The sequence below is a fragment of the Homo sapiens genome, chromosome 3 (assembly GCF_000001405.40).
Source record: "Homo sapiens chromosome 3, GRCh38.p14 Primary Assembly".
NCBI lineage: Eukaryota > Metazoa > Chordata > Mammalia > Primates > Hominidae > Homo > Homo sapiens.
Window position 1 is genome coordinate 48093773 of NC_000003.12, and position 17267 is coordinate 48111039.

The window sequence follows — 17267 nt, forward strand, 5'->3', positions numbered from 1 at the left end:
CATTGCTGCTGGGAATGTGAAAGGTACAGAACTTTGGAAGACAGTTCAGCAGCTTCTTACAAAACTAAACGTACTCTCATATGACCCAGCAATTGCCCTCCTTGGTATTTACTCAGAGGAGCCAAAAATTTATGTCTACACAGGCAGGGCACGGTGGCTCACGCTTGTAGTCCCAGCATTTTGGGAGGCCGAGGCAGGTGGATCACCTGAGGTCAGGAGTTCAAGAGCAGCCTGGCCAACATGGCAAAACCCTGTCTCTGCTAAAAATAACAAAAATTAGCTGGGCATGGTGGCGGGTACCTGTAATCCCAGTGGCTCAGGAGGCTGAGGCAGGAGAATCGCTTGAACCCAGGAGGCAGAGGTTGCAGTGAGCCAAGATCATGCCATTGTACTCCAGCCTGGGCAACAAGAGCGAAACTCAGTCTAAAAAAAGAAAGAAAGAAAATTATGTCTACACAAAAACCTGCACACAATTTTTTTTTTTTTTTTTTGAGACAGAGTCTCGCTCTTTTTGTCCAGGCTGGAGTGCAGTGGTGCCATCTTGGCCCACTACAGACTCCGCCTCCCAGGTTCAAGCGATTCTCCTGCCTCAGCCTCCCAAGTGGCTGGGATTATAGGCATGCGCAACCACACCGGGCTGATTTTTATATTTTTAGTAGAGACGGGGTTTCACCATGTTGGCCAGGCTGGTCTTGAACTCCTGACCTCAGGTGATCCGCCCCCCTCGGCTTCCCAAACTGCTGGGATTACAGGTGTGAGCCACTGCACCCAGCCTCACGAATGTTTATAGTAGCTTTACTCATAATTGCCAAAACCTAGAAGCAACTGAGATCTCCTTTAATAAGTGAATGGATAAATAAACTGGGATTGGAAGAATGCACCAAAAAAAAAAAAAAATGGCTAGCCTTGGGTGGTAAGATTACATAGTTATCATTTACTCCTTTATGCTTTTCCAAATTTTATACTATAAATCATTTATTTCTTTTTATAGTCAGAAAAAGATCAATGAAATTTTTTTTTTTTTTTTTAGAGACAGGTTCTCGCTATGTTGCCCAGGCTGGAGTGCAGTGGCTATTCACAGGTGCGACCCCACTACTGATCAGCACGGGAGTTTTGACCTGCTCCATTTCTGACCTGGGCTGGTTCACCCCTCCTTAGGCAACCTGGTGGACCCCTGCTCCCAGGAATTAACCATATTGATGCTGAACCTAGTGTGGATGGACACCTAATCCACGTAGTGCACTACATCCCAGAACTCCTGGACTTAAGTGATCTTCCTGCCACAGCCTCCCAAGTAGCTGGTACTACAGGCGTGCGCACCACCCCACCTAGCACTTTATTTATTTTTTATTTTTTTTATTTTTGAGATGGAGTCTTGTTCTGTCGCCAGGCTGGAGTGCAGTGGTGCGATCTCAGCTCACTGCAACCTCTGCTTCCCGGGTCCAGGTGATTCTCCTGCCTCAGCCTCCCGAGTAGCTGGGACTACAGGCATGCGCCACCAGGCCCAGCTAATTTTTGTATTTTTAGTAGAGACAGGGTTTCGCCATGTTGACAGGATGGTCTTGATCTTTTGACCTTGTGATCTGCCCATCTCAGCCTCCCAAAGTGCTGGGATTACAGGCGTGAGCAACCACGCCTGGCCACACTTTGTTTTTTTTTTGAGACAGGGTCTCACTCTGTTGCCCAGACAGTACTGCAGTGGAACAATTTTTTTTTTGAGACAGATTTTCGCTCTTCTTGCCCAGGCTGGAGTACGATGGTGTGATCTCAGCTCACTGCAACCTCCACCTCCCTGGTTCAAGTGATTCTCTTGCCACAGCCTCCCGAGTAGCCGGGATTACAGGCATGTACCACCACGCCCGGCTAATTTTTTATTTTTGGTGGAGACAGTGTTTCTCCATGTTGGTCAGGCTGGTCTCAAACTCCTGACCTCAGGTGATCCACTTGCCTCGGCCTCCCGAAGTGCTGGGATTACAGGCGCGAGCCACCACACCTGGCCTGCAGTGGAACAATCTTACCTCACAGCAACCTCAACCTCCTGGGGTCAAGCAGTTCTCCCACCTCAGCCTGAGAGAGTAGGCTGGGACTACAGGCACATGCCATTGTGCCTGGCTAATGTTTTACTTTATACTTTTGGAGAGACGGGGTCTCCCTGTGTTATCCAGGCTGGTCTTGAACTCCTGGCCTCAAATGATTCTCCTGCTTCAGCCTCCCAAAGTGCTGGGATTACAAGTGTGAGTCACCATGCCCAGCATCAATAAATACTTTTTTAAAATTTTTATTCTTATTTTTATTTTATCTCTTACAGAAAGGAAATAAATACATTTTAAGGTAAGGCAAGCAACAGCAACAACAAAAATCTTCACAGAGCGAAACAATAAAAACTGATGTGGTACTGAGTAATAAAACTAACAATAGGTTGTAAGACTTTCTATAGAAAAATATTATAAAACTTTACAACTTTTAGAAGAAAATATAGGGTCGGGATGCTGTGGCTCACACTTGTAATCCCAAAACTTTGGGAGGCCGAGGTGGGTGGATCGCTTGACCTCAGGAGTTCGAGACCAGCTTGGGTGACATGGTAAAACCTCATCTCTACAAAAAATACAAAATTAGCTGGGCCTGGTAGTGCACACCTGTAGTCCCAGCTACTCGGGAGGCTGAGAGGGAAGGATCGCTTGAACCCATGGAGGCGGAGGTTGCAGTGAGCCAAGATTGTGCCACTGCACTCCAGCCTGGGTGACAGAGTGAGACTCTGTCTCAAATAAATAAATAAATAAATAAACCTATTTAAAAAAAAGAGAGAAAAGAAAATATTGAGCAATATCTTGATGCTCTCAGGGTGGGAATCTTATTGCAATTTCTTGGTACCAAAGCTTGTCAGATAAACACAATTTTGCATACCAATTTTATCATAATTTATGATGTTTATGTTAGGATTCCATGGGAAGAGGGAAGTACAATTACATGGATTAGAATTTGAATAGAATAGAGTCATAGCATTTTAAGAACCAGAAGGGTCTTTCAGAGGTTCTTTTGGATTATTTTAGCCCAATCCTTTTTCAAGTGTAGTAATTGAGATATGTTGAGGACCCACAGAAAAATGGCAGAATCCAGGCTTGAACTCATTTTCTTACTCTCATCTGGGTGCTTGTTGCACTTACCCCTTCTTTCATCTTTAAATTAATGTAGGCTGGCACTGGACGCAGTGGCTCATGCCTATAATCTAAGCACTTTGGGAGGCCGAGGCGGGTGGATCACCTGAGGTCAGGAGTTTGAGACCAGCCTGGCCAACATGGTGAAACCCCGTCTCTACTAAAAACACAAAAATTAGCTGGATGTGGTGGTGTGGGCCTGCAGTCCCAGCTATTCTGGAGGCTGAGGCAGGAGAATCGCTTCAACCCAGGAGGCTGCAGTGAGCCAAGATCGCGCAACTGCACTCCAGCCTGGCAACAGAGTGAAACTTCATTTAAAAAAAAAAATAGGGCCAGGTGCCGTGGCTCACGCCTGTAATCCCAGCACTTTGGGAGGCCGAGGTGGGTGGATCACCTGAGGTCAGGAGTTTGAGACCAGCCTGGCCAACATGGTGAAACCCCATCTCTACTAAAAATAGAAAAATTAGCCGGACATGGTGGCAGGTGCCTGTAATCCCAGCTACTCAGGAGGCTGAGGCAGGAGAATCGCTTGAACCTGGGAGACAGCGGTTGCGATGAGCCAAGATGGTGCCACTGCACTCCATCCTGGGCAGCAAGAGTGAAACTCCATCTCCAAAAGAAAAAAGAAATGGGGTCTCGCCCAGCCTGGCCAAGATGGTGAAACCCCATCTCTACTAAAAATACAAAAATTAGCTGAGCACAGTGGCAGGTGCCTGTAATCCCAGCTACTCAGGAGGCTGAGGCAGGAGAATCACTTGAACCCAGGAGGCGGAGTTTGCATTGACCCAAGATCACGCCACTGCACTCCAGCCTGGGCGGCAGAGCGAGACTCCATCTCATAAAAACAAAAAACAAAAAAAAAACAAAAGAAATGGGGTCTCGCTATGTTGCCCAAGATGGTCTCAAACTCCTGGGCTCAGAGATCCTCCTACCTCAGCCTCTTGAGTAGCTGGTATACAGGTGTGAGCCACCATACCCCACACCTGGCTAGCTACCTTAATCTTTGATTTCCTGTAAAGTGATCAAAATGAACCCCTATCTTTTTTTTTTTTTGAGACGCAGCTCACTGAAACCTCTGCCTCCCAGGTTCAAGCCATTCTCCTGCCTCAGCCTCCCGAGTAGCTGGGATTACAGGCATGCACCACCACACCCAGCTAATTTTGTATTTTTAGGAGAGACGACGTTTCTCCATGTTGGTCAGGCTGGTCTCTAACTCCTGACCTCAGATGATCTGCCTGCCTCAGCCTCCCAAAGTGCTGGGATTACAGACGTGAGCCACCACGCCTGGCCAAAACTCCTATCTCTTAAAGCCATCGTTGGCCAATAAACCCCTATTGATGTAAGCCACCATTAGTATCTGTCATTTGCAGCTAAATGCAATCCCAACTGATATATGGAGTAAAAGTCCTGGACTACGAGTTGAGAAACCCCATTACAGTCCCAGCTCTGCCAGGAACAAGCTATGTGGCCTTGGGCAAGCCATTTCCCATCTCTGGACCTCAGGTTCCTCATCTCTACCAGGGGAAGTAGAACAAGATGGTGATGGTCTCTTTCACCTCTTACTTTCTTTGGTCTCATTCATCGTTCATGCTGTATAGTGTGTAATATGGCACTTCTTTCCTCTATGACTACTTCTTTCAAGGTTCACCCAGTGTTCCCTTGTTCCTGTGACCTCAGGACTAATTACAAGGGCCCGTCTCCTTTGAGTGAATGTAACACCTTTGGGGCATTCCCTGAACACAAAGTCCCTCTAGCTAGATCCTTATTTTCTCTTCCTTTGGTTAATTTTTTTTTTCTTTTTCTGAGAGATGGGGTTTCACCATGTTGACCAGGCTGGTCTCAAACTCCTGACCTCAGGTGATCCACCTGCCTCGGCCTCCCAAAGTGCTGGGATTACAGGCATGAGCCACCATGCCTGGGCCCTCTTCCTTTAGTTAATTTTATATACCTACACCTAGGCGGAGCACAAAGGAGGGAAGGGGTTGTTTCTACTCTAAAAATACTGGAGTAACATGCCCACCTCTGCCCCTAACCCCTAAACATGCTATGTGATTTCCCCTTTTGGGGCTTCAAATGCATCATTTATGAAATAAGAGGGTGGCAGACTGTCAAAGGGCCCTTCAAGCCCTGGCATTCTAAGACTGAATTATAGCTTCTAATTTTCTTCTTTCACTGTGATAGCACTTTGCTTGTTGTGAAGCGCTTTGCTCTCTGGTGTGAGAGGTTAGGCTTTCTATGACTCTGAGATAATCTGAGTTAGTATTACTATCCACATTTTGAAGTTGAGGAAACAGATTTAGGGATGTGAAGTTGTGTACCCAAGATCACTGATGGGGCTCAGGGCACCCCACCCCAAAATATGACTATAGGAGATCACAGCATGCCACCCCAAAATGTACCTCTTTGGCATATTTGAGCTGATTATTCTGAGAAACTGCAGACACAGGAGTAGCTCTGAAAATTTGTCCTTTTATAAAAGAACTTCACATCTATAAAGGAAATCTACATTAGTAGATTATCTGTATTAGGAAGATAACTGCTCTGAGATAACATTTTATCTTATCTTTTATTTTATTTTATTTTATTTTATTTTATTTTGAGACAGAGTCTCACTCAGTTTCCCAGGCTGGAGGGCAGTTGCACAATCTCAGCTCACTGCAACCTTCACCTCCCAGGTTCAAGCGATTCTCATGCCTCAGCCTTCCGAATAGTTGAGATTACAGGCTCGTGCCACCACACCCAGCTAATTTTTTGTATTTTTAGTAGAGATGGGGTTTCACCATGTTGGCCAGGCTGGTCTTGAACTCCTGACCTCAAGTAATCTGCCCACCTCAGCCTCCAAAAGTGCTGGGATTACAGGCACAAGCCACCACCCCCAGCCCTGAGATAACCTTTATTACCTGAGAGACTTTTTATCTGCATAGCAGAATGCCCTTGGTTCATATATGTTTCCTCCCCTTGCCCTCCTGTGGCTTGTTGCCACCTACCCCTCCCTCAGGCAGGTCTGTATTCCTTTCTGTAGCTCAGGATGCTATATAAGCTTCAATAGTCTGACCCTTCTAAGGGTCTTATGTTTTGTGGGACTCCTGTGTGTATATACATAATTAAATATACTTTTTCTCTTGTTAATCTGTCTTATTTGAATTTAATTCATAGCCTGGCCAAAGAACCTAGAAAGATAGAGGGGAGACATTTTCCCCTCTCCTAGTACACACCTAGTTACCCAACCAGTAAGTGGTAGATCTGGAACTAGAGATCACATCCTTTGACTCCTTGCTCAGTGCACTTTCCACCTCATCTTGAATTTTTTTTTTTTTTGAAGCGGAGTCTCGCTCTGTCAACCAGGCTGGAGTGCAGTGGCACCATCTTGGCTCACTGCAAGCTCCGCCTCCCGGGTTCACACCATTCTCCTGCCTCAGCCTCCCGAGTGGCTAGGACTACAGGCGGCCGCCACCACGCCTGGCTAATTTTTTTGTATTTTTAGTAGAGACAGAGTTTCACCATGTTAGCCAGGATGGTCTCGATCTCCTGACCTCGTGATCTGCCTGCCTCGGCCTCCCAAAGTGCTGGGATGATAGGCGTGAGCCACCGTGCCTGGCCTTTTTTTTTGAGACAAGTTCTCACTCTGTTGCCCACGCTGAAGTGCAGTGGTGTGTTCATGGCTCACTGCAGCCTTGATGGCCCAGGCTCCAGCAATCCTCCCACCTCAGCCTCCTGAGTAGTTGGGACTATAGACGTGTGCCACTACGCCTGGCTAAACTTTATTTATTTATTTTTTAGGAACAGGGTTCTCACCATGTTGCCCAGACTGGTCTAAACTCCTGGGGAGCTCAAGGGCTCAAGTGATTCACCTTTGCCTCCCAGAGTGATAGGATTACAGATATGAGCCAGCACTGTGCCTGACTGATTTTTTTGTTTGTTTTTTCTCTTTCCCTTTTCTCTCCAGGATCTGCTTCCTGGCTATAATCATAATTGCTCTCTCTGTTCAGAGCTCACCATAGATCACTCAGAATTAGCCAACTATGGCCAATTCAGTAAGCCTTTGGTGAGAGCCTGCTTCAGAAAAGGTTTTCTGAGAGGAGATGAACATAAAAGGATTATTTTAAAAGATGCTTGCCTTAGCTCTTTGGCCCTTCCTCACTTAGCTTGGAATGAAACAATGGGCAGATTGGATAAACTAACTTGTATTTAAGAAAGAGCTGCACATAATCATGGAATTCCTGTGGGCACAGTCCACACTGACTCAATTAGTGTGGACAGAGGACTTTGCAGGGAAGCATTTTTTAAACACTTAGGCATAATTTTGCCAGGCACAGTGGGTCACGCTTGTAATCCCAGCACTTTGGGAGGTTGAGATGGGAGGATGGCTTGAGCTCAAAAGTTTGAGACTAGCCTGGGCAGCAAAGTGAGACCTCATTTCTACAATAAAAATTTTAAAATTAGCCAGGGCCAGGAGCGGTGGCTCATGTCTGTTATACCAGCACTTTTAGAGGCTGAGGCAGGTGGATCACCTGAGGTCAGGAGTTTCACACCAGCCTGGCAACATGGTGAAACCCTGTCCATACTAAAAATACAAAAATTAGCCAGCCATAGTGTCAGGTGCCTGTGATCTCAGCTACTTGGGAGGCTGAGGCAGGAGAATTGCTTGAACCCAGGAGGCAGAGGTTGCAGTGAGCTAAGATCCTACCGCTGCACCACTGCACTCTGGGTGACAGAGCAAGACCCTGTCTCCAAAAAAAGAAAAATTAGCCAGGCATGGTGGCATGTGCCTGTGGTCCCAGCTACAGAGGAGGTTGAGGCAGGAGGATCCCTTGAGCCCAGTAGGTCAAGGCTGCAGTGAGCCGCGTCCGTACCACTACACTCCAGCCTGAGTGACAGAGTGAGATCCTGTCTCAAAAAAAAAAAAAAAAAAAAAGAAGAAGAAAATACAAATTAACACCATTAAAAACAAAAAAAATTTTCAAACTTACTGAAAATTTGCAAAAATAAAAATAGTATGTAGGACTCTCACATACACTTTACCAAGAGTCACCTATTTTATTTTATTTTATTTTGAGATAGTTTCACTCTGTCATCCAAGCTGGAGTGCAGTAGTACAATCTTAGTGGACTATAGCCTCGAACTCCTGGGCTCCAGCAATCCGCCCACCTCATCCTCCTGAGTAGCTAGGATCACAGGTATGTGCCACCACACCTGGCTAATTTTTTTATTTTTTGTAAAGACAAGGTCTTGACGTGTTGCCCAGCCTGGTCTCTAACTCCTGGTCTCTAGCGATCCTCCCACCTCAGACTCCCAAAATGCTGGGATTACAGGCATGAACCACTGTCCCAAGCCTATTTTATATTAGATTAGTGGGCACATGTGCTTGATGGTTTCATGAGTATATTGCATAATGGTGGGGATTGGATTTCTAGTGTACTCATTACCCAAATAGTGAAGGTTGTACCTGACAGGTAATTTTTCAACCCTTGCCCCCCTCTCAGCCTACCCTGTTTTAGAGTCCCCAGTGTCTATTATTTTCATCTTTACGTCCATGTGTACCCTTTGTTTAGTTTCCACTTATAGATGAGAAGGCATTTGGTTTTTTTTTTGTTTGTTTATTTCTTTGTTTGTTTGTTTTTTAGACAGGATCTCACTCCCATTGCCTAGGCTGGAGTGCAGTGGTGCAATCTAAGCTTACTGCAGCCTCGACTTCCCAAGCTCAGGTGATCCTCCCACCTAAGCCTCCCAAGTAACTGGGACTACAGGCATGTGCCAACCGGCCCAGCTAATTTTTTGTATTTTTAGTAGAGATGGGGTTTCACCATGTTGCCCAGGCTGGTCACAAACTGCTAGGCCCAGACGATCTATCCACCTTGGCCTCCCAAAGTGTTGGGATTATAGGTGTGAGCCACCACACTAGGCCAAGTGTTCCCTTTTCTCTGCATCCACACCAACGTCTGTTTTTTGACTTTTTAATAATGGCCATTCTGACTGGTATAAAATATCTCATTGTGGTTTTAATTTGCACTTCTATGATGATTAGTGATGTGGAACATTTTTTCCTATGTTTGTGGCCGCTTGTATGTCTTCTTTTGAGAAGTGTCTGTTCATGTCTTTGCCCAGTTTTTAATGGAGTTGTTTGGTGGGTTTTATTTATTTATTTTTGCTTTATTTTTATTGAGAGGGGGGTCTCATTATGTTGCCCAGGCTGGTCTTGAACTCCTGGGCTCAAGCAATCCTCCCACCTTGGCCTCTCAAAGTGCTGGGATTACAGGCATGAGCCACTGTGCCCAGCCATGGAGTTGTTTGTTTTTTTTTTCTTGTTGTGTTATTTATTTGTAGATTTTGTACGTTAGTCTTTTGTCAGAGACATAATTTATAATTTTTTTTTTTTGAGACGGAGTCTTGCTCTGTCACCCAGGCTGGAATACAGTGGCAGGATCTCGGCTCACTGCAAGGTCTGCCTCCCAGATTCACGCCATTCTCCTGCCTCAGCCTCCTGAGTAGCTGGGACTGCAGGCGCCCACCACCACACCCGGCTGATTTTTTGTATTTTTAGTAGAGACAGGGTTTCACTGTATTAGCCAGGATGGTCTCGATCTCCTGACTCATGATCCGCCCGCCTCAGCCTCCCAAAGTGCTGGGATTACAGGCGCAAGCCACTGCGCTCAGCGTTTTTTTTTTTTTTTTAGACGGAGTCTCGCTCTGTTGCCCAGGCTGGAGTGCAGTGGCGCGATCTCAGCTCGCTGCAAGCTCTGCCTCCTGGGTTGACGCCATTCTTCTGCCTCAGTCTTCTGAGTAACTGGGACCACAGGCGCCCACCAGCGCGCCTGGCTAATTTTTTGTGGTTTTAGTAGAGACAGGGTTTCACCATGTTAGCCAGGATGGTCTCGATCTCCTGACCTCGTGATCCGCCCTCCTTGGCCTACCAAAGTGCTGGGATTATAGGCGTGAGCCACCGTGCCTGCCCTAATTTACAAATATTTTATCCCATTCTATAGGTTGTCAGGTTGTCTGTTTACTCTGTTGATTATTTCTTTGGCTGTTTACTCTGTTGATTATTTACACTATATCTACATGGAGATAGTGTCAGATCCCACAGGTGGAAGGCTCAGTCCCCAAAACTATCCCCAACACACACCAGCTACAAGTTCCAGCCTCCAGAACTTCTGACTGACCAGCTTTAAGTTGGGGTCCCCATGACCCCCTTTGCGTTTAATTAATTTGCTGGAATGTCTCACAGAACTCACGGAAACACTTACTTAGGTTTACTGGTTGATTATAAAGGATATTACAAAGGATGCAGATGAAGAGATGCATAGGGCGAGGTGTGGGGGAATGGACGTGGGGCTTCCATGCCCTCCCGGGGCGTGCCAGCCTCTAGGAACCTCCATGTGTTCAGCTATCCTGAAGCACTCTCTAAACCCTATCCTCTTGGTTTTTTGTTTGTTTGTTTTTGTTTTTGTTTTTGTTTTAAGACAGTCTCACTCTGTCACCCAGGCTGGAGTGCAATGGCACGACCTCAGCTCATTGCAACCTCCACCTCCCAGGTTCAAGCAATTCTCTTGCTTCAGTCTCACAAGTAGCTGGGATTACAGGTGCCTGATACCACACCCATCTAATTTTTTTGTATTTTTAGTAGAGATAGGGTTTCACCATGTTGGCCAGGCTGGTCTCGAACTCCTCACCTCAAGTGATCCACCCGTCTCTGCCTCCCAAAGTGCTGGGATTACAGGCGTGAACCACCGTGCCCAGCCTCCCTCGGGGTTTTATGGAGGCTTCATGGCATGAGCATTCCTTCCCCCAGGGTATAGTAATGTGGAGCATTTTTTCATATGTTTCTTGGCTGCTTGTATGTCTTCTTTTGAGAACTGTCTATTTATGTCTTTGCCCAGTTTTCCTGGGAGGATCTGAAGACCCACAGTCAGAAAGGTAGAAATAGATTAGAGTCCTGCTTTGGAGCAGGTGAAAGAACAGGGGAGAGATTCTGTTTCCTGAGGCTTAACACACCTAATATTATTTAAAAAAGCTGTAACAAGGACTATGGGAGTTATGAACTAGGAACTGTGGAGGAAAACCAATGTATAACACCACATGGTGAGAGATCGGGGTCCAGTTTCATTCTTCTGCATATGGTTAGCCAATTTTCTCAGCGCCATTTACTGAATATGGTGTGGATTCACCTTTTTTTTGAGATGGAGTTTTGCTCTTGTCACCCAAACTGGAGTGCAATGGCGCGATCTCCACCCACTGCAACCTCTGCCTCCCGTGTTCAAGCAATTCTCTTGCCTCAGCCTCCAGAGTAGCTGGGATTACAGGTGCACGTCACCACACCCAGCTAATTTTTATATTTTACTAGAAACAGGGTTTCACCATGTTGGCCAGGCTGGTCTTGAACTCCTGATGTCAGGTGATCTGCCCGCTTCAGCCTCCCAAATTGCTGGAATTACAGGCATATGCCACCGTGCCCGGCCAATTCACCTATTTTTAACACTTTGCCCATTTGCTTAATTATGTGCTATATACATATACCACACACAAATAATATTTTTTGAGCCATTTGAATGTGGGTCATACGCATTATAACTTTTTACCCCTAAATACTTCAGTGTGTATTTCTAATAATAAGGATATTTCTTATACAATACAGATTTCAATCTCAGTAAATTTAACATTGATTCAAGAATTCTATTTAATCTCCCATCCATGTTCCAATTTTGTCAGCTGACCCAGTAATATCCCTTATAGCATTGTTTTTCTCTTCCGGAGCAGTAGCCAAATACCACATTCAGTTGTCATGTCTCTTTAGTTTCCGTTAATATGGACCGTTTTCACAGCCTCTGTGTGTGTGTGTGTGTCTTTTATGACATTGATATTTTTTAAGAATATAGCTACCCCTAGGCCGGGCGCGGTGGCTCACGCTTGTAATCCCAGCACTTTGGGAGGCCGAGGCAGGCGGATCATGAGGTCAGGAGATGGAGACCATCCTGGCTAATATAATGAAACCCTGTCTCTACTAAAAATACAAAAAATTAGCCGGGCATGGTGGCACACGCCTGTAGTCCCAGCTACTTGGGAGGCTGAGGCAGGAGAACTGCTTGAACCCGGGAGGCGGTGGTTGCAGTGAGCCAAGATCACGCCACTGCACTCCAGCCTGGCAACAGAGCGAGACTCCATCTAAAAAAAAATAATTAAAAAAAAAAAGAATATAGCTACACCTTTTAAAAATGAGAAGGTAGCCAGGCGGGTGCCTCATGCCTGTAATCCTAGCACTTTGGGAAGCCGAGGCAGGTGGATCACCTGAGGTCAGGAGTTCAAGACCAGCCTGGCCAATGTGGTGAAACCCTGTCTCTACTAAAAATACAAAAAAAATTAGCTGGGCCTGGTGGCGGGCGCCTGTAATACCAGCTACTTGGGAGGCTGAGGCAGGAGAATTGCTTGAACCTGGGAGGTGGAGGTTACAGTGAGCCGAGATTGCGCTACTGCATTCCAGCCTAGGTGACAGAGCGAGACTCCACCTCAATCAATCAATCAATCAATAAAATGAGAATGTGTCTCATTTGGAGTGTCTGATTTTTTTCTCATAGTTATGTTTCAATTATGCGTGCGAGTCCAGAATACTGCACAATTGATGCTGTGTTCTTTTCAGGGCTTCTCATTTTGGGAGGCATGTGGTGTGTCCATCTGACCCTCACTGGTGGATGTTCATTTTGGTTATCAAGTCGTTTTCTGACTTCTCTGTATTGCTACCATTTTTTCCCTTGCAACTAACAAGCAATCTGTGGAGAGACTGGAGAGACGCTCTAAGACGGGCTTATATCCTGATCCTCATCAAAATATCTCCAAGATACAGATAGCACCCATTGATGATTCTTTTTTTTTTTTTTTTTTTTTTTGATACAAGCTCTCACTTTGTCGCCTAGGCTGTAGAGCAGTGGCACAATCTCAGCCCACTGCATCCTCTGCTTCCCAGGCTCAAGCCATCCTCCCACCTCTGCCTCCTGAGTAGTTGGGACTACAGGTGTGCACCACCACACCTGGCTAATTTTTGTATTTTTTGTAGAGATGGGGTTTTGCCGTGTTGCCCAGACTGGTCTCAAACTGGTGAGCTCAAGCAATCCGTCTGCCTCAGCTTCCCAAAGTGCTGGGATGACAGGGGTGAGCCATCATGCCCAGCCCAATAATTCTTTTCTAAATCAGTCTTTGCTGTAATGGTTGCACAGTGATGATGACTTTCCATTCCACCTTTCCCTCCACATTTGCCTGTTTGATACTCAACATTTTGATATAAACTACATTCCTCCCTTCTCAAGGGGTACAGTTTTGACATCTTTCGAGGTAAGTGAGATCTGGAGTTCCACTAGAAAGCAGACATTCTTGTGTAAGGCAAGAGAAGGAGATAGCCTGCCTTGCCCAGTCCTTGAAAGCAGAGAAAGAGTGACCTGGGCCAGTTACTCCAAGGACTCCAGCTAAAGGAGCCGAGACTTTCAGAAAAACAAAGAAGCAGAGAGGAATATGCAGAGGCTTCACAAACAGGCTCAGTTTCACATTGTCTCTTCCTGTTACCTGCTGTGTGATCTTCCTCAGCTCATCAGCTCACCTAGCTTCTCTTGGCCTCTGTTTCCTAAGTAGTAATATGGGATAATTCTTACCTTAGAGGCTCATTGGGAAGATCGATGGAAACAATTCTCATATTTTGCTAGGCCCACAGTGTGCTTAATGACAGATGCATATTATATAGAATATGGGGAAATTATTTTGTGCTTTAATTTTGTTTCATTTCAACAAATGTTTACTCAGAACCGATCATACAGTAAGCCATTGTGCTTGGAGCTGGAGACAAAATAAATCAGCCCCTAAAAGTTCACAATCCAGAGGAAGGAAAATACAAATTTAATTCCACTCCTAGGTATTTACCCAAGAGAAATAGAAACATATATCCACATAAAGATTTGTTAAGAATGATCATAGTAGTGGATCTCACTAAGATAGTAGTTTGGCAATTACCAGAAGCTAGGAAGCGTAGGCAAGAGGGGGAGATGAAGACAGGATGATTGATGGGTACAAAAGTACAGGTAGATAGAAGAAATAAGACCTAGTGTTCAATAAATAGTAGTATCAGTAGTGATTAAACAATAATCTATTGTATATTGTATATTTTTTATTTTTTATTTTATTTTTTGTTGTTGTTGTTGTTGTTGAGACAGAGTTTCACTCTTCTTGACCAGCATGGAGTGCAATGGCACGATCTCGGCTCACCGCAACCTCCGCCTCCCAGGTTCAAGCGATTCTCCTGCTTCAGCCTCCCGAGTAGCTTGGGACTGCAGGTGCATGCCACCACACCCGGCTAATTTTGTATTTTTAGTAGAAACAGGGTTTCACCGTGTTGGCCAGGCTGGTCTCGAACTCTGGACCTCAGGTGATCTGCCCACCTTAGCCTCCCAAAGTGCTGGGATTACAGGTATAAGCCACCGTGCCCGGCCTGTTGTATATTTTTAAATACCAAGTACAGAATAATTGGAATGTTCCCAGCATAAAGAAAAGATAAATGTTTAAGGTGATGAATTTACCAATTACCCTGACTTGATTATTACACATTATTTGAACACATCAAAACATCACATGTGGCCAGGCACGGTGGCTCACCTCTGTAATCTCAGCACCCAGGCCGAGGTGGGCGGATCACTTGAGGTCAGGAGTTCGAGACCATCCTGGCCAACATGGTGAAACCCCATCTCTACAAAAAATAAAAAAATTAGCTGGGCGTAATGGCGCATGCCTATAATCCCAGCTATCCAGAGGCTGAGGCACAAGAATCGCTTGAACCCAGGAGGTGGAGATTGACGTGGGCCGAGATCTCGCCACTGCGCTCCAGGCTAGCGACACAGCAAGACTCCATCTCAGTAAATAAATAAATAAGTAGTGCCAGGCGCGGTGGCTCATGCCTGTAATCCCAGCACTTTGGGAGGCTGAAGCGGGTGGATCACTTGAGGTCAGGAAGTCGAGACCAGCCTGGCCAACATGGGAAAACCCCGTCTCTACTAAAAATACAAAAATTAGCCTGGCATGGTGGTGTGCGCCTTTAATCCCAGATACTCAGGAGGCTAAAGCCGGAGAATCACTTGAACCCAGGAGGTGGAGGTTGCAGTGAGCCAAGATGGCACACCTGCACTCCAGACTAGGCAACATAGTGAGACTCCATCTCAAATAAATAAATAATTTATAGTAAATAAATTAGTTGGCACAGAGTTGGGCACCTGTAGTCCCAGCTACTCGAGAGATTGAATCAAGAGGATCACTTGAGTCCTGGAGTTTGAGGCTGCAGTAAGCTATGATCACACCACTACACTCCAGCCTGGGTGATGACAGAGCAAGACCCTGTTTCAAAAAAAATAAAATTTAGGCCAGGCACGGTGGCTCACGCCTGTAATCCCAGCACTTTGGGAGGCCGAGGTGAGTGGATCACAAGATCAGGAGTTTGAGACCAGCCTGGCCAATGTGGTGAAACCCATCTCTACTAAAAATACAAAAGTATTAGCCAGGTGTGGTGGCAGCCACCTGTAGTCCCAGCTACTCGGGAGGTTGAGGCAGGAGAATTGCTTGAATGCAGGAGAATCACTTGAACGCAGAGGCAGAGGTTGCAGTGAGCCAAGATGGCGCCACTGCACTCCAGCCTGGGCGACGGAGCAAGACTGTCTCAAAAAAAAAATAAATAAATAAAAAATAAATAAAATTTTGAAAAACAATGCTTATAGCAACTTTATTCTTTTTTTTTTTTGAGATGGAGTCTCACTCTGTCACCCAGGCTAAAGTACACAATCTTGGCTGACTGCAACCTCTGCCTCCCCGGTTTAAGCGATTCACCTGCCTCAGCCTCCTGAGTAGCTGGGATTACAGTAGCATGCCACCATGCTAATTTTTGTATTTTTGTACAGACGGGGTTTCACCATATTAGCCAGGCGTGAGCCACTGCGCCCATCCACAACTTTATTCTTAATAGCCACAAACTGGAAACATGATACTGTGAAATATACACAGTCATGCAACGTTTTGGTCAACAAGCTGCATATATGACAGTGGTCCCATAAGATATACAGATAGATTAATAGATAGATAGATAATTGGTTTTTTTCCTAGAGAGGGTGTCTCATTATGTTGCCCAGGCTGGTCTTGAACCCCTGGTTCAAGTGCTTCTCCCACCTCTACCTCCTAAAGTGCTGGGATTACAAGGTGTGAGCCACTTAGCCCTACCCTATAAGATTATAATACTGCATTTTTGGCCAGGCACGGTGGCTTAAGCCTATAATCCCAGCACTTTGGGAGGCCAAGGCAGGTGAATCGCTTGAGGTCAGGAGTTCGAGACCAGTCTGGCCAAGATGGTGAAACCCTGTCTCTACTAAAAATACAAAAATTAGCTGGGCATGACTGCAGCTGCCTATAATCCCAGCTACTTGGAAAACTGAGGCACGAGAATTACTTGAACCCAGGAGGTGGAGGTTGCAGTGAGCTGAGATTGTGCCACTGCACTCCAGCCTGGAATAGAGCGAGACTCAGTCTCAAAAAAAAAAAAAGATTATAATACTATATTTTTACTGTACCTTTTCTATGTTTAGATATGTTTAGATACATAAATATTTACCAGGTGTTACAATTGCCTATAGTATTCAGTGCAGTAACACGCTGTACAGGTTTGTGGTGTAGGAGCAACAGGCTACATCCTGTACCCTGGGTATTCTAGGTATTTAGTAGGCTGTATCATCTAGGTATGTGTAAGTACACTCTATGGTGTTCGCACAATGATGAAATCACTTAGTGATGCATTTCTTAGAACACATCCCTCTTGTTAAGCTAAGTAAAACTGTATTTGGTCTTTATCCCACTTTTCTGGCATACAACTCCTAAAATTATTGGAATTCAGAGTGGTATCTTTTGTACACTATTAAGTTGCCTGGTGGCTGGCAGCCCCTAGGTAGCTTCAGGATGGGGGCTAGTAACAGCGAAGACCAAGGCAGATTAGAGGGTTGTAACTTTTCAGCACCACTCCCCAACCTCCTGGGAGAGGAGAGAGGCTGACAGTTAAGTCGATCACCAATGGTTAATTATTTAATCAACCATGCCTATGTAATGAAG

At 45.5% G+C, this 17267-nt stretch overlaps 1 pseudogene, besides 1 other annotated feature; it reads right to left on the reverse strand.

Annotated features, from left to right (window-relative positions):
• On the reverse strand, positions 1029–1329 carry RN7SL664P (RNA, 7SL, cytoplasmic 664, pseudogene; annotated as a pseudogene).
• Positions 13413–13613: a silencer, noted in NCBI's record as "peak4638 fragment used in MPRA reporter construct". NCBI's record gives its function as "represses an SCP1 promoter by STARR-seq MPRAs in K562 erythroleukemia cells {active_cell/tissue: K562}" and the evidence as "EXISTENCE:reporter gene assay evidence [ECO:0000049][PMID:32103011]".